This window comes from Homo sapiens, chromosome 4 (assembly GCF_000001405.40).
Source record: "Homo sapiens chromosome 4, GRCh38.p14 Primary Assembly".
Classification (NCBI taxonomy): Eukaryota; Metazoa; Chordata; class Mammalia; order Primates; family Hominidae; genus Homo; species Homo sapiens.
In genome coordinates, this window is record NC_000004.12 from 82,006,288 (window position 1) to 82,028,336 (window position 22,049).

The 22,049-nt window shown below is 38.5% G+C and overlaps 1 pseudogene, besides 1 other annotated feature; it reads right to left on the bottom strand.

Annotated features, from left to right (window-relative positions):
* Window positions 1-4,183: 4,183 nt before the first annotated feature.
* On the bottom strand, window positions 4,184-4,949 carry NPM1P41 (nucleophosmin 1 pseudogene 41; annotated as a pseudogene).
* Window positions 11,486-11,686: a silencer, noted in NCBI's record as "peak5067 fragment used in MPRA reporter construct". NCBI's record gives its function as "represses an SCP1 promoter by STARR-seq MPRAs in K562 erythroleukemia cells {active_cell/tissue: K562}" and the evidence as "EXISTENCE:reporter gene assay evidence [ECO:0000049][PMID:32103011]".

The window sequence follows — 22,049 nt, forward strand, 5'->3', positions numbered from 1 at the left end:
TTGAGAATTAATTATATCTTCTAGGTCTTTTAGAAATTTCTCAGATTCCTATTTTCCTCTCCTGTGAATTAGGTAAAATTTCTAATCCACTCACCTTTCATAGTAGAGTCTAACAACATGCTCACAATAATGATTTTTCAGAAAATGCCCTTGCAGTGTGATAGATTTGGGGGGATAATGAATTCTGCTTCCTTCCTTTCTCACTCACCACAGAGTACTACCAGCATCACTTCTAATCAATTTTAAACTCAAACAAAAATTCATAAGGTTTCAAATGACCAAATGAATATTTCTGCAATGATTAATTTCCTCAAAAAAGAGGCAAAGTTCCAAAAGAAATTACACTTGTTTAATTGACACTAGGTTTGAAGCCAGTGAAAACCCTAAGAAGGCTTTCACCTCCTTTATTCCCAACCTGAATGGTTTTTTGTTTTGTTTCTTTGTTTTGTTTTTGTTTTGTTTTGTTTTGTTTTTTGAGACGGAGTCTCACTCTGTTGCCCAGGCTGGAGTACAGTGGCGCGATCTTGGCTCACTGCAAGCTCCGCCTCCCGGGTTCACGCCATTCTCCTGCCTCAGCCTCCCGATTAGCTGGGACTACAGGCCTGAACGGTTTTTAAGACCAAGAAAGACATGAGGTCAGGGAAAGAAAAGAAAGCAACCCTCTCACACAGGAACACTTAAAAAAGTACTCAACATGGCAAAAAGTAAAACCCCTTTACAATTCCCATGATGGAGAATTAGAACCAATACCTGAATCTTAAGGTAATGGTGCTAAATCCATTTTTTAAAGTAATTCTCATGTTTATAGAGCAGGAGAACAGAAATTGACTCACAGCATATCTGAAATGCATAAAAATGATATATACACTGTCACCATATTTGCAAATTGAGTAATAAGGAAGTAATGTATCCAAAGTGCCAGACAGACACATCCAGGAAAATTAAATGCCCACGTTAAAAGAATTGTACCAGCAAGCCACCTCCAGTGAGGCTAGTTTCTTTTATCACAATCTAGTTTCCATTTAATTAACCTGTGGGTCAGCGCTTCCAGAAAACTGTTGGCAATATCTCAAATAGAGATAAATGTGGAAAAGGGACTGATCAGGGAGGAATTCTGGGAAGATGATGGCAACCACAATATAGTTTTTAAATCTCCCCAATCCACCACCCCCACTACATAAAAACAGACAGAGCAAGCAGAATATCAAAACCAAAAACTCATGGCCAATATTTACACCATGGTAACAATGAGGTGCTAAGATTTCCCCAGCAACCTGAAAATATGAACAGATGGGGATTAAATGACCAGCCAACCACAAGACCTATAGGGTATCAGCTACCATGTAAGAGATAAGAGAAAGAAGCAGAATATCTGAGGGATCTGAGAACAGGAAAACTCAAAAACTATCAACCAGTGGTCCCTGGGAAGCACAGCAGGCCAATGTGAGGACAGTGGCTGAGACTCGAAAGAACTCTGCACATTCCAATTTGTAGTGCAAAACGTTCTCAGTAAGGGAGGGCTGAAGGGGCTGGAGGAGCGTGGCTCTTATAAAATCTCAAAATTGAGGAACAAAAGCTTCCTTCCAGGACAAAACCCATGGAGAAACTGCTGGGTGTGGATGCCAACTTGACCAGGACGGGAGTAACAGGGATAAAATAGAGATTGAGAGAGAAGACTCAGATTAAAAATTGCAAATGGAAGTCCAAATAAATACAGTTAATTTAGTCAAAGTTGTCTAGTCAATTCAGCATGACCATTAAGATGAACACAGTTATCCAAAGCTAATGCTTTTTCCATTTTTATTAAGATGTTTGTTACCATACGGGCAAAGACTGAGAGTACTAAATAAAATAAAGCTTAAGAAATAAATGATGGCACAAGACAGGGATGCCCTCTCTCACCGCTCCTATTCAACATAGTGTTGGAAGTTCTGGCCAGGGCAATCAGGCAGGAGAAGGAAATAAAGGGTATTCAATTAGGAAAAGAGGAAGTCAAATTGTCCCTGTTTGCAGACGACATGATTGTTTATCTAGAAAACCCCATCGTCTCAGCCCAAAATCTCCTTAAGCTGATAAGCAACTTCAGCAAAGTCTCAGGATACAAAATCCATGTACAAAAATCACAAGCATTCTTATACACCAACAACAGACAAACAGAGAGCCAAATCGTGGGTGAACTCCCATTCACAATTGCTTCAAAGAGAATAAAATACCTAGGAATCCAACTTACAAGGGATGTGAAGGACCTCTTCAAGGAGAACTACAAACCACTGCTCAAGGAAATAAAAGAGGACACAAACAAATGGAAGAACATTCCATGCTCATGGGTAGGAAGAATCAATATCGTGAAAATGGCCATACTGCCCAAGGTAATTTACAGATTCAATGCCATCCCCATCAAGCTACCAATGACTTTCTTCACAGAATTGGAAAAAACTACTTTAAAGTTCATATGGAACCAAAAAAGAGCCCGCATCGCCAAGTCAATCCTAAGCCAAAAGAACAAAGCTGGAGGCATCACACTACCTGACTTCCAACTATACTACAAGGCTACAGTAACCAAAACAGCATGGTACTGGTACCAAAACAGAGATATAGATCAATGGAACAGAACAGAGCCCTCAGAAATAATGCCGCATATCTACAACTATCTGATCTTTGACAAACCTGAGAAAAACAAGAAATGGGGAAAGGATTCCCTATTTAATAAATGGTGCTGGGAAAACTGGCTAGCCATATGTAGAAAGCTGAAACTGGATCCCTTCCCTACACCTTATACAAAAATCAATTCAAGATGGATTAAAGATTTAAACGTTAAACCTAAAACCATAAAAACCCTAGAAGAAAACCTAGGCATTACCATTCAGGACATAGGCGTGGGCAAGGACTTCATGTCCAAAACACCAAAAGCAATGGCAACAAAAGACAAAATTGACAAATGGGATCTAATTAAACTAAAGAGCTTCTGCACAGCAAAAGAAACTACCATCAGAGTGAACAGGCAACCTACAAAATGGGAGAAAATTTTCCCAACCTACTCATCTGACAAAGGGCTAATATCCAGAATCTACAATGAACTCAAACAAATTTACAAGAAAAAAACAAACAACCCCATCAAAAAGTGGGCGAAGGACATGAACAGACACTTCTCAAAAGAAGACATTTATGCAGCCAAAAAACACGAAGAAATGCTCATCATCACTGGCCATCAGAGAAATGCAAATCAAAACCACTATGAGATATCATCTCACACCAGTTAGAATGGCAATTATTAAAAAGTCAGGAAACAACAGGTGCTGGAGAGGATGCGGAGAAATAGGAACACTTTTACACTGTTGGTGGGACTGTAAACTAGTTCAACCATTGTGGAAGTCAGTGTGGCGATTCCTCAGGGATCTAGAACTAGAAATACCATTTGACCCAGCCATCCCATTACTGGGTATATACCCAAATGAGTATAAATCATGCTGCTATAAAGACACATGCACACGTATGTTTATTGCGGCACTATTCACAATAGCAAAGACTTGGAACCAACCCAAATGTCCAACAATGATAGACTGGATTAAGAAAATGTGGCACATATACACCATGGAATACTATGCAGCCATAAAAAATGATGAGTTCATATCCTTTGTAGGGACATGGATGAAATTGGAAACCATCATTCTCAGTAAACTATCGCAAGAACAAAAAACCAAACACCGCATATTCTCACTCATAGGTGGGAATTGAACAATGAGATCACATGGACACAGGAAGGGGAATATCACACTCTGGGGACTGTGGTGGGGTCGGGGGAGGGGGGAGGGATAGCATTGGGAGATATACCTAATGCTAGATGACACATTAGTGGGTGCAGCGCACCAGCATGGCACATGTATACATATGTAACTAACCTGCACAATGTGCACATGTACCCTAAAACTTAGAGTATAATAAAAAAAAAAAAAGAAATAAATGAATAGAAGAATATTATACTCAAATATAGTTTTTTCAGTTATAAGATTCTATGAGAAAAACAAATAGTTTGATGTCAGAAGGCTGAATATTACAATTTTTTTTACTTTATTAAAACATTGAGTTTATTTCACATGTACATTTTTGTCTCCCTGCCATTTCCATGTCTGGCCACTGCAACTACTATATCCTAGCACACATTTCATACATATTTAAAACCAAGCAGAGGGTGGAGATCCATCTTTAAAAACCAAATAGGCATTTTGGAAAACACATTCTTAGCAGTGGAACCTGGACATTTATCAAACATGGTAGGGAAAGTTCTCACTCTGTGTTATCAAACAGACATCTAGATATCAACTGTTATAGAAATGAAATAAGATGGGAAATTTTTAACAAATTGTTTAAACTAATTTCTTAAGGAGACTTTCTCCACTGCCAGAGATCTTGAATAGCCTCCTGTTTATTCATCCAGAAGCAATTATTTACATAACTGATGAACTGGGCTCCCACTTTGGGAAGAGAACCACCTTTTCCTATACTTGCCTGCATTTTGGCTTTGATATCTTCTACAGAACTAGGTCCTTTTGGTGTTTTCAGGGTTTTTTTCCTGTTTTTTTTGAATAATTCTTCACCTTTAGATCTTCTTGTTAATGATTTTTAGTCTTTTTCTATTCTGGTTTGATTTTTGGCAGAAGTATCTCATACAGATTTATTCACTAGAGCTTTTTCTTCAGTTTCCTCATTATCAAAATCATTATCATCATCTTCATCAGCAGCAAGTTCTACTTTTCTCTGTGGAACCTTTTATCACCTCCACAGGTGGACTGCCTTCTAGATATACTTAAAAGTTGCATATCCTTCTCCTCTTCATCTTCTGACTCTGCATCTTCCTCCATAGTTACTAAGCGCTGTCCACTAATATGCACTGGCCCTGAACTACACTTCAACCAGAAGACCACAAGTGTTATTTTAAAGTCCTCAAGAGACAAAAGCAAAAATTGACAAAAAGGATCTAATTAAACTAAAGAGCTTTTGCACAGAAAAAGAAACTATCATCAGAGTAAACAGACAACCTACAGAATGAGAGAAAATTTTTGCAACCTATCCATCTGACAAAGATATAATATCCAGAGTCCATAAGAAACTTAAACAAATTTACAAGAGAAAAAAAAACGTTTAAAAAGTGGGCAAAGGACATGATCAGACACTTCTCAAAAGAAGACATTTATGCAGCCAACAAACATAAGAAAAAAAGCTCAACATCACTGATCATTAGAGAAATGCAAATCAAAAACACAATGAGATACCATCTCACACCAGTGAGAATGGTGATTATTAAAAAGTCAAGAAACGACAGATGCTGGCAAGGCTGCTGAAAGATAGGAATGCTTTTACATTGTTGGTGGGAATGTAAATTAGTTCAACCATTGTGGAAGACAGTGTGACAATTCCTCAAAGACCTAGATCCAGAAATACCATTTGATCCAGCAATCCCATTACTGGGTATATACCCAAAGGAATATAAATCATTCTATTATAAAGATGCATGCATGTGTATGTTCACTGCAACATTATTCACAATAGCAAAGACATGGAATCAACCCAAATGTCCACGAATGATAGACTGGAGAAAGAAAATGTGGTAAATATACACCATGGAATACTATGCAGCCATAGAAAGGAATGAGATCATGTCCTTTGGAGGGACATGGATCAAGCTGGAGCCATCATTCTCAGCAAACTAACGTAGGAACAGAAAACCAAACACTACATGTTCTCACTCATAAGTGGGAGCTGAGCAATGATAACACATGGACACAGGGAGGGGAACAACACACACTGGGGCCTGTTGGGGGTGGAGGTGGCAGGGGGAGGGACAGCATCAGGAAAAATAGCTAAGGCATATTGGGCTCAAAACTGAGGTGATGGGTATATAGGTACAGCAAATCGCCATGGCACACATTTCCCTGTGTAACAAAACTACACGTCCTGCACATGTACCCCGGAACTTAAAATAAAAATTTTTTAAAGCCCTTAAGGAACCCATTGGCTGTGAAGATATTTTCAAAGTTGGCTGTGTTATTTTAATTAACCTGCCTTCATCATTTGTTGCCTCTGCTTCAACAATGTACAATTCATCCTTTGCACCAGTCCCTCAACTGACTATTCTTTTTTTTTTTGAATCCAAATATTTGTTTATTGGATTAAATTTGATATTAATTTACAAATTTGTGAATATGTGAAATATCCAGTTTTTAAAGTTTTATTTTATTTGGAATTTTCACATAATAATTGTACATATTTATAGGATACAGTGTGATGTTTCAATGCATGGTACATTGTATAATGATCAAACCAAAGTAATTAGTGTATCTTCTACTTTAAACATTTATTGTTTCTTTGTGGTGATAACATTAAAATCCTTTCTTCTAGCTACTTTGAAATACACAATACATTACTGTTAGCTATAGTCTATGTAACTAACCTCCACCTTCTGCACATGTATCCTAGAACTTAAAGTAAAAAATAATAAAAATTTTTAAAATGAACAATAAAAAAGTAATCTGATTATTCATGAAAAAAAAATAGAAAGTAGTATAATGGTTACCAGAGGCTGGGGAGGGGAGAGCATGGGGGGATAGGGAGAGATTGGTCAAAGGGTACAAAGTTACAGTTAGGAACAATAATTTCTGGTATTCTAAACTGACTATTCTTAAAGATAACTGGTGCTCATTTTCATCATTACCCACTTTAACATACTAATCTTTGTGGGCCTTTAGCTCATGACAAAAAATGATAGTTCTAGGGCCTCAGGGGGCTCATGGTCATGTCCATCAGTCTTCACTTGGTGGTAGCATATACTCAGGTGGGAGAGAAGCCAGATGGAGATAAATATCAACTACTGCTCCAGAGAACAGCCACGCAGGATGGAATCACACCAGGACTACTACAAGATATTTAATGCAACTGACTTTCTACCTTTACAGTATAACATATAATGGTGCTATGGTCTGAATGTTTGTCCTTCAAAACTCATGTTAAAATTTGGCTGCCATTGTGGTAATGTTAGGAAATGGGACCTTTGGGAAGTGATAGGGCCAGGAAGGCTCTGCTCTCATGGGTAAGATTAATGCCATTATAAAAAGGCAAAAACAAATTTGGCCCCCTTTTTGTCTCTACATCCTTCCACCTTTTGCCATGTGATAATGCAGCAAGAAGGCCCTCACCAAACACCAGTGTCTTGATCTTGGACTTCCCATCCTCCAGAACTGTGAAAAAATAAATTTCTATTCATTATAAATTAGTCTGTGGTATTCTGTTATTGCAGCACAAACAGACTAAGATAAATGGCAACTAACACTAATTGAGAGTTCAATCTGTATCAGGCTCTGTTCATTACTTCATATGAATGATCTCATTTAATCCTCATACCATCATTATCCCCATTTTAAAGATGAGGAAACTGAAACTAAAAGAAGTAACTATTCTAAGGCAACACATCTAATAAACGTCAGAGCCAGATTCAAATCTGGATCTGTTTCCAAAACTCATTCATTTATTATTTTCAATAAAAACTCACATAGTAAAACAACATGATACTGAAAACTAAACCTGGTATTAACAAACAATATATCCCAAATGGCTAAACTTTACATTTCACTGACTCTCTTAATAGTTTCTATCTGAAAGACATGGTTAAACAAACAAAATTCCTTGAAGTAAATATGTAGACTGGTCCCTTAAGATAGTTGATAACAAAGGTCTTCTTCATTCATGTCTCCATAGTTCTTTTGTGGCAGGAGGGGGACTATTTATCACTGCAGAGATATGATACCTCTGCTATATGTATCCAGATTCTATTTAACTTTCAAATCTCAGTTCATTCCCTTCTTTCATGTATCTTTCTCCTATCATTCCGGAAATTACTTCTACTTAATTCCAACAGCTACGCTTACCATATCTAACACATGACTTAGCATATAATTACTCCTCAATTATAATAACAGTGTTTGGAATAACAGGGGCCAAATGTATTTTCATGCTTGAAACAACAAAACAACAAAATATATGAAACAATGATTTTCAAGACAGTGGAGAGCAGGTGATGATCCTTGAGAGACTACAAATGAGTAAGGGGAGACCTATCATTGTGCCAGTTTACTGCCTTGAGAGTTTCTGGACACTGGCCCAGGGAAAAGGAATCCAGTGCAGCCCAGCCAACTCACTGAGCTGAGAAGACAGAGCTGAGGCTGGGGAGACCAAGGCAGCTACAGTTTGCACAATAGAGTTCCAAAGAGGATAAACTTTCATAGAGAGAAGACTCCAAAGATCTGCAGAGACTCTCTCCAAAAAAAATTGAACAAGGTACTGATTTGCACATGAATGTACTTTTGCTGCTTTTTTTTTTTTTTTTTTTTGAGATGGAGTCTTGCTCTGTTGCCCAGACTGGAGTGCAGTGGCATGATCTCGGCTCACCACAACCTCCGCCTTCTGGGTTCAGGCGATTCTCCTGCCTCAGTCTCTCAAGTGGCTGGGACTACAGGTGTGTGCCACCATGCCCGGCTAATTTTTGTATTATCAGTAGAGATGGGGCTTCACTATGTTGGCCAGGCTGGTCTCGAACTCCTGACCTCGTGATCTGCCCACCTCGGCCTCCCAAAGTGCTGGGATTACAGGCGTGAGCCACCATGTGCAGCCTTAATTCTTATTTAAAAAATCAACTTTTATTATTTAGAGCAATTTTAAGTTTACAGTAAAACTGAGTAGAAAGTACAGAAAGTTCCACAGACAACTGATTTTTTAGAGAGATACAAAGATAATTTAGTGGGCAAAGGATCATCTTTTCAACAAATGGTGCTGTAATTGGATTGCAATACATATAAAGAAGCAAGAAGGAAGAAGGAGGAGGAGGAGAAGGAGGAGAAAGAAGACAGAAGAAGAAAGGGAAGGAGGAGGAGAAAGAAGAGAAAGAAGACAGAAGAAGAATGAGAAGGAGGAAATGAAGGAAGAGAAGAAAAAGGAAGAAAAGAAGGAAGAAAAGGAGAAGGAGGAGGGAGAAGAAGGAAGGAGACAAATTAAGAGGAGGAGGAAGAACAAAAAGGAGGAGGAGGAGTTGAAGGAGGAGAAGTAGTAGTAGTGATCGTCGTCTGGTTCATACCTCAAATAACATGTAATGATTCACTCAAAATGGATCATTGACCTAAATGTAAAATGTAAAACTGAGACATTTTTACAAGAAAATACATGAGAAAATCTTTGAGACCTTGGGTTAAATAATAATTTCTTAGATATCACATAAAACACATGTTCCATAAAAGAAAAAATGATAAATTTAACCAATCAAAACTTAGAACTTCTAGACTCAGTTAAGAGAATGCATTAAGAAAAACCACAGACTGGGGAAAAAATACTTGCAAATCCTTTATGTGATAAGGTATTTGTATTCAGGTTTTTGTTTTGTTTTGTTTTGAGACAGAGTCTCGCTCTGTCGCCAGGCTGGAGTGCAGTGGTGCGATCTCAGCTCACCGAAACCTTCGCCTCCCAGGTTCAAGCAATCCCTCTGCCTCAGCCTCCTGAGTAGCTGGGACTACAGGCACGCACCACCAGACCCAGCTAATTTTTTTGTATTTTTAGTAGAGACAGGGTTTCACCATGTTGGCCAGGATGGTCTCGATCTCTTTACCTCATGATCTGCATGCCTCAACCTCCCAAAGTGCTGGGATTACAGGTGTGAGCCACCGTGCCCGGCCATATGTTTTTAACTCTCTAAATAATAATCAGGGAAAGAATTTGGCAAATGATTTGAATAGGCACTTCACCAAAGAAATGGTGGATGACAAACAAGCTCATGACAGGATGCTCAACATCATTAGTCCTTAGGGGAATACAAATTAAAGTCACAATGAGATATCTCTCCACACCTATTAGAATGGCTAAAATTTTAAAATCTGACCATCCCAAGTGCTAGTGAGGATGTGAAGGAACTGGAATGCTCATACACTGCTAATGGGAATATATAATGAACCTACCACTTTGAAAAACAATTTGATGGTTTCTTAAATAGCAAACATATACCTACCACATGAGCTGGCCATTCCACTTTTAGGTATTACCCAAGATAAATGAAAGTATATGTCCATTTGTACATGAATATTCACAGCAACTTTATTTGTAAGAGCCAAAACTATACATAATCCAATGTTCATCAATAGGTGAATGGATAAGCCAATTATGGCACATTCACATAATAAAATACTCTCAGCAAAATAAAGAATGAACATTTATATACATTACAACATGGGTGAATGATAAATAATGATGGGAAGAAACCAGACAAAAATGATTATAAATGCATGGTTTCATTGATAAAATTCTGGAAAATATGAACTAACTCCTAGTGACAGAGGACAAATCAGTGACTTCCTGGTGGTAGAAGTGAGGTACCCATGGAAAGATTATAACAGAGCCAACAAAACTTCTGAGAGTGATGGGCAAGTTCATTATCTTGATTGTGGTAACAGATTCACATGTATATGCCTATGTCAAAATCTGTCAAGTTGTACACTTTATAGCAATTTTACACTTTTATAGCAATTTATTGTATGTCAATTATACTCCAATAAAGCTTTTTAAAAATAATGAGTGTTGATGTTTAAACAAACTAAATTACAAACTAAGAAGGATAAGCCAGGACTGTCATAAATTAATTTTTTCCTACCACAATTATGAACAAACAGTACATACTTATATAGTAGAGTGAATACATGGGTTTAATTTAAGGGATTTTTTTGCTATTTTTCCAATAGATATATTTGGAAGACACTATGTCTTCATTTTTCTAAAATTTTCTTCATATTCTAAATAAGATACAAGTAATCTTATTAATTTTTAAAAGGCAATACCAAAATAGATTTCAAGTGTTTCCAAGAGACAGTCAAACCAGGACAAAAATAATGGGGAAAATAAAATTAGCAAGCTAATTTGCAAGAATAAGCTAAGTAGTATTTCAAATAATCCTAAAGGGAAATAAAGCTTTATCAGATGAAATTTTGCTAAGCATAATTTAGAAGGATGGTTCATATTTTATCTCAAAGTTTTTACCTAGGAGTCTCAAGATTTATTTTTCTAAATCTTATCCTTTCCCAAAATTTCTTAAATCATTAGTTGACAGTGAACCACTTTAAATACTGGTTCCAAGATAATGAGGTAATTGTTTGTATTTGAAATGTACCTCAAAGTCAGTCAGAATATTAAGAAGGCTTTCAAAAGACTCAAATGTCAGAAATAATTCAGAATTTAAAAAAGAATTCAAACAGGATTTACAGCCCTCAAAAGGAGGGTTTTTACAAGCTGGTGACACTTCATTACTATATTATGAAGACTCATAATACAGTAACTCACTTTTCAAATTGAACCCTAGAGTTTTACACATTTAACTCTAGTTGGGATCTTCCAGGTTTGAAGGCAAGTTTGCCAGCCTGGGGTAGTGGGGAAAGCACATGGATTCTTGCCCTTATCAGCCATTACAAGCTGTAGGTTAGGCACTCCATAATATTCATTGAAAATGAGGGGCTTGGAATAGAAATTGTCTTATGTCGCCATCATTTTGTGAGTATGTCTAAAAAGACAGTATCATTTCAGCACCATGGACAGTCACCATGGGTAGGAAAGGACACTGAACTTGAGGAGAAAAGCTAGTGGGGTTGTTTTAAAAGTTATTGTAAAAAAAAAAAAGTTCATGGATAGTTTTATCTTTTGTTTTGTTTTTTGAGACAGGGTCTAACTCTGTCACTCAAGTGGAATGCAGTGGCACCATCTCGGCTCACTGAAACTTTGCCTCCCAGGCTCCAGTGATCCTCCCACCTCAGCCTCCAGAGTAGTTAGGACTACAGGCACACACCACCATGACCAGCAATTTTTTTGTATTTTCTGTAGAGATGGGGTTTCACCACGTTGCCCAGTCCGGTCTCAAACTCCTGGACTCAAGTGGCTCCCCCGCCTGGGCCTCCCAAAGCGCTGGGATTACAGGCACGAGCCACCACACCCAGCCGATAGTTTTAATATTTCAAGTTAATGTGATGTTTATGGTAATAAGGAAATTTTTCCATTTTCATTGTTTGCAACATTTTTCAAAATGATCGACATCTTGGAATAAAACAGAAACTATTTGCCTTGAGAAGAAAACCTCCTGTATTTACTATCTAACTGTTCCAATAAACGGTGATTGAAGATTTGTACAGAAAATGACTCAGGAAATAAAATAAACATACAAAAAGTTACCCAAAAAAGTGGAAAATGCATTAAAATTTATGCTTCTGTATTCTTCAACTGAATACTAGTAACTTGAAAAGCATGAACAGTTTTAACTGTATCAACTTAAGTCAGATATACACAAATATTTTTAATCAATTTAAACAACGTTAAAGTTGCTAACACAATATATCTTAGAATTTACAATCAATGTCCCCTAAAATATTTAAGGGCCCAGTGCTTCCCCAGAGAAGGGAAAATCACATTAGGGATACTAACATTCCTCCCTATCTACCCTCAATATTTAAAGCAAATGTAATCAGGTTAATATGAGAGTCAAATCTGAAAGCCTCCAAGGCCAAAGAGAAAAAGAGCCTATTAAAAAAAAAAAAAAAATAGCTTCTTGGTGGCTCACACCTGTAATCCCAGCACTTTGGGAGGCTGAGGCAGGCAGATCACTCGAGGTCAGGAGTTCAAGACCAGCTCGGTCAACATGGTGAAACCCTGTCTCTGCTAAAATTTAGCCCAGAGTGGTGGTGTGTGCCTGTAATCTCAGCTACTTGCAAGGCTTAGGCAGGAGAATCACTGGAACCCAAGAGGCAGAGGTTGCAGTGAGCTGAGATCATGCACTGTACTCCAGCCTGAGTGACAGAGAAAGACTGTCTCAAAATTAAAATTATAATTTAAATTTTAAAAAGCATCTTATATCCTTAAGTATACACTCATGGAATAGAATATCATTCAAGTTTTCTTAGTGATGATGAAAGAGATGGTGGAAGGGGAAGACCTGTGGAAAAAAGATGGTATAGTTTTACGCATTTATTCATTCATATATTCATTTTACAAGCTTGCTAACTGGAAAACACTGCTATGTGCTGGGCACCCAACAATGAAGAAACAGATATAGTTATCACTCTCTAACATTGAGACTCTTGCTGGGATAACTTCACATTTGTTGAAGTGTGGAAGGAAGAGAGTGAATCTAGGGATAGCAAGAAAGCTTGCTAGACCTTTTCTGAGAAAGAGCTTTCTACTCTTACAAGACAGAAAGGAAAGAGAAAGGAGGGAGCCAAGATGGCCAAATAGGAACAGCTCCGGTCTACAGCTCCCAGCGTGAGCGATGCAGAAGACGGGTGATTTCTGCATTTCTGTCTGAGGTACCAGGTTCATCTCACTAGGGAGTGCCAGACAGTGGGCATGGGACAGTGGGTGCAGCGCACTGTGCGCGAGCCGAAGCAGGGCGAGGCATGCCTCACTTGGGAAGTGCAAGGGGTCAGGGAGTTCCCTTTCCTAGTCAAAGAAAGGGGTGACACACGGCACCTGGAAAATCAGGTCACTCCCACCCCAATACTGTGCTTTTCCAACGGGCTTAAAAAATGGCGCACCAGGAGATTATATCCCGCACCTGGCTCAGAGGGTCCTATGCCCACGGAGTCTCGCTGATTGCTAGCACAGCAGTCTGAGATCAAACTGCAAGGCTGCAGTGAGGCTGGGGGAGAGGTGCCCGCCATTGCCCAGGCTTGCTTAGGTAAACAAAGCAGCTAGGAAGTTCCAACTGGATGGAGCCCACCACAGCTAAAGGAGGCCTTCCTGCCTCTGTAGGCTCCACCTCTGGGGGCAGGGCACAGACAAACAAAAAGACAGCAGTAACCTCTGCAGACTTAAATGTCCCTGTCTGACAGCTTTGAAGAGAGCAGTGGTTCTCCCAGCACATATCTGGAGATCTGAGAACAGGCAGACTGCCTCCTCAAGTGGATCCCTGACCCCTGACCCCCGAGCAGCCTAACTGGGAGGCACCCCCCAGTAGGGGCAGACTGACACCTCACACAGCCAGGTACTCCTCTGGGACAAAATTTCCAGAGGAACGATCAGACATCAGCATCTGCAGTTCACGAAAATGCGCTGTTCTGCAGCCACCACTGCTGGTATCCAGGCAAACAGGGTCTGGAGTGGACCTCTAGCAAACTCCAACAGTACTGCAGCTGAAGGTCCTCTCTGTTAGAAGGAAAACTAACAAACAGAAAGGACATCAACACCAAAAACCCATCTGTACATCACCATCATTAAAGACCAAAAGTAGATAAAACCACAAAGATGGGGAAAAAACAGAGCAGAAAAACTGGAAACTCTAAAAAGCAGAGCGCCTCTCCTCCTCCAAAGGAACGCAGCTCCTCACCAGCAACGGAACAAAGCTGGACGGAGAATGACTTTGACGAGTTGAGAGAAGAAGACTTCAGACGATCAAACTACTCCGAGCTACAGGAGGAAATTCAAACCAAAGGCAAAGAAGTTGAAAACTTTGAAAAAAATTTAGACGAATGGCTAACTAGAATAACCAATACAGAGACGTGCTTAAAGGAGCTGATGGAGCTGAAAGCCAAGGCTCGAGAACTACGTGAAGAATGCAGAAGCCTCAGGAACCGATGCGATCAACTGGAAGAAAGGGTATCACTGATGGAAGATGAAATGAATGAAATGAAGTGACAAGGGAAGTTTAGAGAAAAAAGAATAAAAAGAAACAAACAAAGCCTCCAAGAAATATGGGACTATGTGAAAAGACCAAATCTACGTCTGATTGTTATACCTGAAAGTGACGGGGAGAATGGAACCAAGTTGGAAGACACTCTGCAGGATATTATCCAGGAGAACTTCCCCAATCTAGCAAGGCAGGCCAACATTCAGATTCAGGAAATACAGAGAATGCCACAAAGATACTTCTCGAGAAGAGCAACTCCAAGACACACAATTGTCAGATTCACCAAAGTTGAAATGTAGGAAAAAATGTTAAGGACAGCCAGAGAGAAAGGTCGGGTTACCCACAAAGGGAAGCCCATCAGACTAACAGCGGATCTCTCAACAGAAACTCTACAAGCCAGAAGAGAGTGGGGGCCAATATTCAACATTCTTAAAGAAAAGAATTTTCAACCCAGAATTTCGTATCCAGCCAAACTAAGCTTCATAAGTGAAGGAGAAATAAAATCCTTTACAGACAAGCAAATGCTGAGAGATTTTGTCACCACAAGGCCTGCCCTACAAGAGCTCCTGAAGGAAGCGCTAAACAAGGAAAGGAACAACCAGTACCAGCCACTGCTAAAACATGCCAAATTGTAAAGACCATTGATGGTAGGAAGAAACTGTATCAACTAACGAGCAAAATAACCAGCTAACATCATAATGACAGGATCAGATTCACACATAACAATATTAACTTTAAATGTAAATGGACTAAATGCTCCAATTAAAAGACACAGACTGGCAAATTGGATAAAGAGTCAAGACCCATCAGTGTGCTGTATTCAGGAAACCCATCTCACGTGCAGAGACACACATAGGCTCAAAATAAAAGGATGGAAGAAGATCTACCAAGCAAATGGAAAACAAAAAAAGGCAGGGGTTGCAATCCTACTCTCTGATAAAACAGACTTTAAACCAACAAAGATCAAAAGAGACAAAGAAGGCCATTACATAATGCTAAAGGGATCAATTCAACAAGAAGAGCTAACTATCCTAAATATATATGCACCCAATACGGGAGCACCCAGATTCATAAAGCAAGTCCTTAGGGACCTACAAAGAGACTTAGACTCCCACACAATAATAATGGGAGACTTGAACACCCCACTGTCAACATTAGACAGATCAACGAGACAGAAAGCTAACAAGGATACCCAGGAATTGAACTCAGCTCTGCACCAAGTGGACCTAATAGACATCTACAGGACTCTCCACCCCAAATCAACAGAATATACATTTTTTTCAGCACCACACCACACCTATTCCAAAATTGACCACATACTTGGAAGTAAAGCTCTCCTCAACAAATATAAAAGATCAGAAATTATAACAAACTGTCTCTCAGACCACAATGAAATACTAGCAAACCGAATCCAGCAGCACATCAAAAAGCTTATCCACCATGATCAAGTGGGCTTCATCCCTGGGATGCAAGGCTGGTTCAATATACACAAATCAATAAATGTAATCCAGCATATAAACGGAACCAAAGACAAAAACCACATGATTATCTCAATAGATGCAGAAAAGGCCTTTGACAAAATTCAACAACCTTTCATGCTAAAATCTCTCAATTAATTAGGTATTGATTGGACATATCTCAAAATAATAAGAGCTATCTATGACAAACCCACAGCCAATATCATACTGAATGGGCAAAAACTGGAAGCACTCCCTTTGAAAACTGGCACAAGACAGGGATGCCCTCTCTCACCACTCCTATTCAACATAGTGTTGGAAGTTCTGGCCAGGGCAATCAGGCAGGAGAAGGAAATAAAGGGTATTCATTTAGGAAAAGAGGAAGTCAAATTGTCCCTGTTTGCAGATGACATGATTGTATATCTAGAAAACCCCATTGTCTCAGCCCAAAATCTCCTTAAGCTGATAAGAAACTTCAACAAAGTCTCAGGATACAAAATCAATGTACAAAAATCACAAGCATTCTTATACACCAATAACAGACAAACAGAGAGCCAAATCATGAGTGAACTCCCATTCACAATTGCTTCAAATAGAATAAAATACCTAGGAATACAACTTACAAGGGACATGAAGGACCTCTTCAAGGAGAACTACAAACCACTGCTCAATGAAATAAAAGAGGATACAAACAAATGGAAGAACATTCCATGTTCATGGGTAGGAAGAATCAATCTCATGAAAATGGCCATACTGCCCAAGGCAATTTATAGATTCAATGCCATCCCCATCAAGCTACCAATCACTTTCTTCACAGAATTGGAAAAAACTACTTTAAAGTTCATATGGAACCAAAAAAGAGCCCGCATCACCAAGTCAATCCTAAGCCAAAAGAACAAAGCTGGAGGCATCACGCTACCTGACTTCAAACTATACTACAAGGCTACAGTAACCAAAACAGCATGGTACCGGTACCAAAACAGAGATATAGATCAATGGAACACAACAGAGCCCTCAGAAATAACGCCTCATATCTACAACTATCTGATCTTTGACAAACCTGAGAAAAACAAGCAATGGGGAAAGGATTCCCTATTTAATAAATGGTGCTGGGAAAACTGGCTAGCCATATGTAGAAAGCTGAAACTGGATCCCTTCCTTACACCTTATACAAAAATTAATTCAAGATGGATTAAAGACTTAAACGTTAGACCTAAAACCATAAAAACCCTAGAAGAAAACCTAGGCAATACCATTCAGGACATAGGCATGGGCAAGGACTTCATGTCTAAAACACCAAAAGCAATGGCAACAAAAGACAAAATTGACAAATGGGATCTAATTAAACTCAAGAGCTTCTGCACAGCAAAAGAAACTACCATCAGAGTGAACAGGCAACCTACAAAATGGGAGAAAATTTTCACAACCTACTCATCTGACAAAGGGCTAATATCCAGAATCTACAATGAACTCAAACAAATTTACAAGAAAAAAACAAACAACCCCATCAAAAAGTGGGTGAAGGACATGAACAGACACTTACTTCCCAAAAGAAGACATTTATGCAGCCAAAAAACACATGGAAAAATGCTCATCATCACTGGCCATCAGAGAAATGCAAATCAAAACCACAATGAGATACCATCTCACACCAGTTAGAATGGCAATCATTAAAAAGTCAGGAAACAACAGGTGCTGGAGAGGATGTGGAGAAATAGGAACACTTTTACACTGTTGGTGGGACTGTAAACTAGTTCAACCATTGTGGAAGTCAGTGTGGCGATTCCTCAGGGATCTAGAACTAGAAATACCATTTGACCCAGCCATCCCATTACTGGGTATATACTCAAAGGAATATAAATCATGCTGCTATAAAGACACATGCACACGTATGTTTATTGCGGCACTATTCACAATAGCAAAGACTTGGAACCAACCCAAATGTCCAACAATGATAGACTGGATTAAGAAAATGTGGCACATATATACCATGGAATACTATGCAGCCATAAAAAAGGATGAGTTCATGTCCTTTGTAGGGACATGGATGAAACTGGAAATCACCATTCTCAGTATACTATCGCAAGAACAAAAAACCAAACACCACATATTCTCACTCATAGGTGGGAATTGAACAATGAGAACACCTGGACACAGGAAGGGGAACATCACACTCTGGGGACTGTTGTGGGTTGGGGGGAGGGGGGATGGATAGCTTTGGGAGATATACCTAATGCTAAATGACAAGTTAATGGGTGCAGCACACCAGCATGGCACATGTATACATATGTAACTAACCTGCACATTGTGCACATGTACCCTAAAACTTAAAGTATAATAATAATTTTAAAAAAAAAGAAAGAGAAATAAAGAGAAAGAGATAGCTGTGCATTGTCTCAAGTGGGAGTTTTTCCTGGCTGTTATCATTTTAGAAGGAAGAAAGGAAGAAGAAAAAGAGACAAACATATGCATATAGTGACTTTACCTACTCTCATATATGGCCCATCTGAGACCTGCAACCTGTTAGGTCTGTATTCTTCCACCTCGGAGTCCAATGGGGAAGTTAACTAATTTGATAAGATGAAAGGGCATTGGGCACCCTCCCTAGAGGATAATGGTATAATTCTCTATTCAACTTTCTTTTTAAAGGAAATGTCTTGATTACAATATAATTTTTACATATGGGTAAACATATATTTGTCCATTATCTTTTCAACAGATCTTTCTCAGAAAGCTTTACCACTCAAAAAATAATCAAGCCAGTCTTGATATTAAAAAGGCAAGCACCCATATATGATGTTTTAAAGGGAATGGAATATATTTGCATCGCACAGAAGCAAATTTTAGAGTTTAAAATACTAACATATGCATTTAATATAGTAATGTGTACTCTGTATGTTACTATAGTAATTCTGTACTAGAAATCAGAATTAGAGCAAAGATCATCTTAGTACATTATAAAAATGCAGGAAAACTAACACAACTAGCTGGTGTGAGTGACTGTTGTTATGTATCAGTATAAAAGTATAAAAACTAAAGCCAATAAACAGATTAATTTTCAAGGTTTTATTCACAAGAAAAGTGATGATGTTTCATAGTAAAATTGATTTAAACTATCATGTTATTGATTTGTTTACCTAAACAGTTTCACTTTTTAATTTATTAAAGAGCTAATATTGAATTGATAATCCAATTGGGTTTTCTAGATGCAAACCGAAATAGAAAAAATTATCACCACACTCTCTCACACAATATATAGCAAAATAATAGTTCCAATGCATAAGCCATCTAGCCTAGCAACTATGAACTGGATAAAACACAGATTAGACCTAACCTCCTTTCTTTCTTTCTTTCTTTCTTTCTTTTCTTTTTTTTTTTTTTTTTTTTTTTTTTTTTTTTTTTTTGACACAGGGTCTCTCTCACCCTGTTGCCCAGGCTGCAGTGCAGTGGTGCAGTGGCTCACTGCAGCCTCAAGCAATCCTATCACCTCAGCCATCTGAGCAGCTGGGACTACAGGCATGCACCACCAGACCCAGCTAATTTTTTTTTTTACTATTTTTTTTTGGTAGAGATAGGGTCTCACTACCTTGCCCAGAGTGGTCTCAAACTCCTGGACTCAAGCAATCCTCCTACCTTAGCCTCCTCAAGTGTTAAGATTAGAGACATGAGCCACCATACCCAGCCCAAACTCCCTTTCTTATTCCTGAAATACTAAATGAACACCTACTGCGGTTTCATTTATTTGTCAAATATTACTGAACAATTATCATTTTCCCTGCCCACATGTAAGAGGTAGAAGAGACTGTTTAAAAAATGTAAGTTTCTACCCTCGACTTCAGGGCCCTACCCTTTAATTGAAGGCATTATCTAGTAGGTCCTAACAGTTGGCTTAAACAGAAAATTTTACCCTGTTTATTTTTCAATTTGGGTATCATCTCTACCCTATCTCCGTTGCATTAGGCTATTATTATGTTAAGGGCAGAAACACTGACACTTTCTGTGTAACAACCACTCCAATTCTCAGGGTGCACATACCACATACACAATAGAAAATAAAATATTTTTCTGATATGAAACAGTGAAGACAGACCAATTCCCTGGAAACTCTTTTAATAATAAAATCTATTTGGGGACTGGGATTCTTTTCTAAATGTTTTTATAATTTATCACTCAGCACAAGTATAAGTTACATTTTCTAAACCAAAAAGCACTATGCAGCAAAAAATTCTCTTATGAATAAACAAATTTAAAAACAGTGTTAATATCATCATAACATTGTTTTGTTTGGCTGACGTGACAGGTGATTTATTGTAAACTGAAATTCCTCACTTGCACCTAATTCCCCTTTTAAAAATAAATCGAAACCCAAAACCACTAGCTTTAGAATCATGAGATGAGATTTAAGACCCAGCTTTGCCACATGTTAGTTGCTATGGTCTGAATATTTAAGTCCTTCCGAAATTCATATGTTAAAATCCTCAACCCCAAGGTGATTGAGTTAGAAATTGGGACTTTGAGAGGTGATTAGGTCATGGGCTCAGAGCTCTCAGGAGTGGCATTTGTGCTCTTATAAGAGGCCTAAGAGAGTCTCCTTACCTTTTCCATCAAGTGAGGTTAAACTGAAAGACAGCTTCTGTGAGGACACACAGAATCTGCCTGGCACCTTGATTTTGGACAACCTCCAGAGCTAGGAAAAGTAAATTTCTGTTAATTATAATGCTCAGTTTATGGTATTTTGTGGTAGCAGCCCAAATGAACCAATACAGTAGTTGTCTGACCTTGGGCAACTCAGATCTAACTTCTTGGGGATTCAAATTCCTCACTTCCAAGTTAAGAAGTAGAGATGCAATGCATTTTGTGCTCCACTACATCTGTAAACACTCTACTGTTTTAAGACTGACATTTACAGAAGCTCTAATAATATCCTCATTCAACCCAAATCACTTTTCATTTAACTACAAATTGCAACAAAAACAAGTTACATCTTTATATATCATTCTTGTGATTTCATGTTGTGAATTTATCCACTTTTACATGCATGTATAATGAAGCACACAGCATTTTAATGAATTGACAGAATTGTTTACAAACCAGTCATTCAGATGGTCACTTTTATCTTTCAAGCAGAAGCTGCTACTGTTCCTCTATCATTCAGGGTTCTAGTAGGAAATACATGTCATATTCAAAAAAGGTAACTTAAGGAAAATTCAATAAAATTTTGACTATTTACAAAGATGTAGAAAAGATGTAGGAAAACCACAAGGCATTGTGCAATATTTTGAGGCAAGTAACATGCCCAATTACCAACCCTAAAGTAGCAAGAGAAGCGACAATGACGGGAAACTGGAGACAGGCTGTGTGGTGACGACCACCTTACAGGAGCTGTGATCTTAGGTAGAGGGACAGAGTCAGCCCAAGGAGGTCTCACATGTAGGGAGCAGTGTTAACAAATGTCTGCCCGCCCAATTTTCACTGCCTCCAGTCTCTCTCAACAATACTCCTCATTGGCCAAACCCAGTTAGAAACTGAGGCCAAGAGAACTCTATTGCTGTATTTCATGCAGGTTGGCTTCCTGGAACTTGTGATGGGGAAGGTCAAGAACTGCAGGGGTAAAGGAAAGACCTAACACACTCCTCTTCCCTCTACTTATAAATGGGCTAGATTCTCAAAGAGCTTCTTTAATGATGTCATGAGTGCAAACTACTTGTCCAGTGAGCTCATGTAAAGTGCTAGATCCCTTCCAAATTCTAACTATGTATTTAATGTTCAAATAATCTTTATTCTGACACCAAGAGCCTATTAGAACCCTCTAATGTAGTCATCTGGGATAATTTTAAATCTCTACAGGTTTGCACAAAGAATGTAAGCAAACCAATTGCTTAAGTTGGAAGAAATGTCAATGT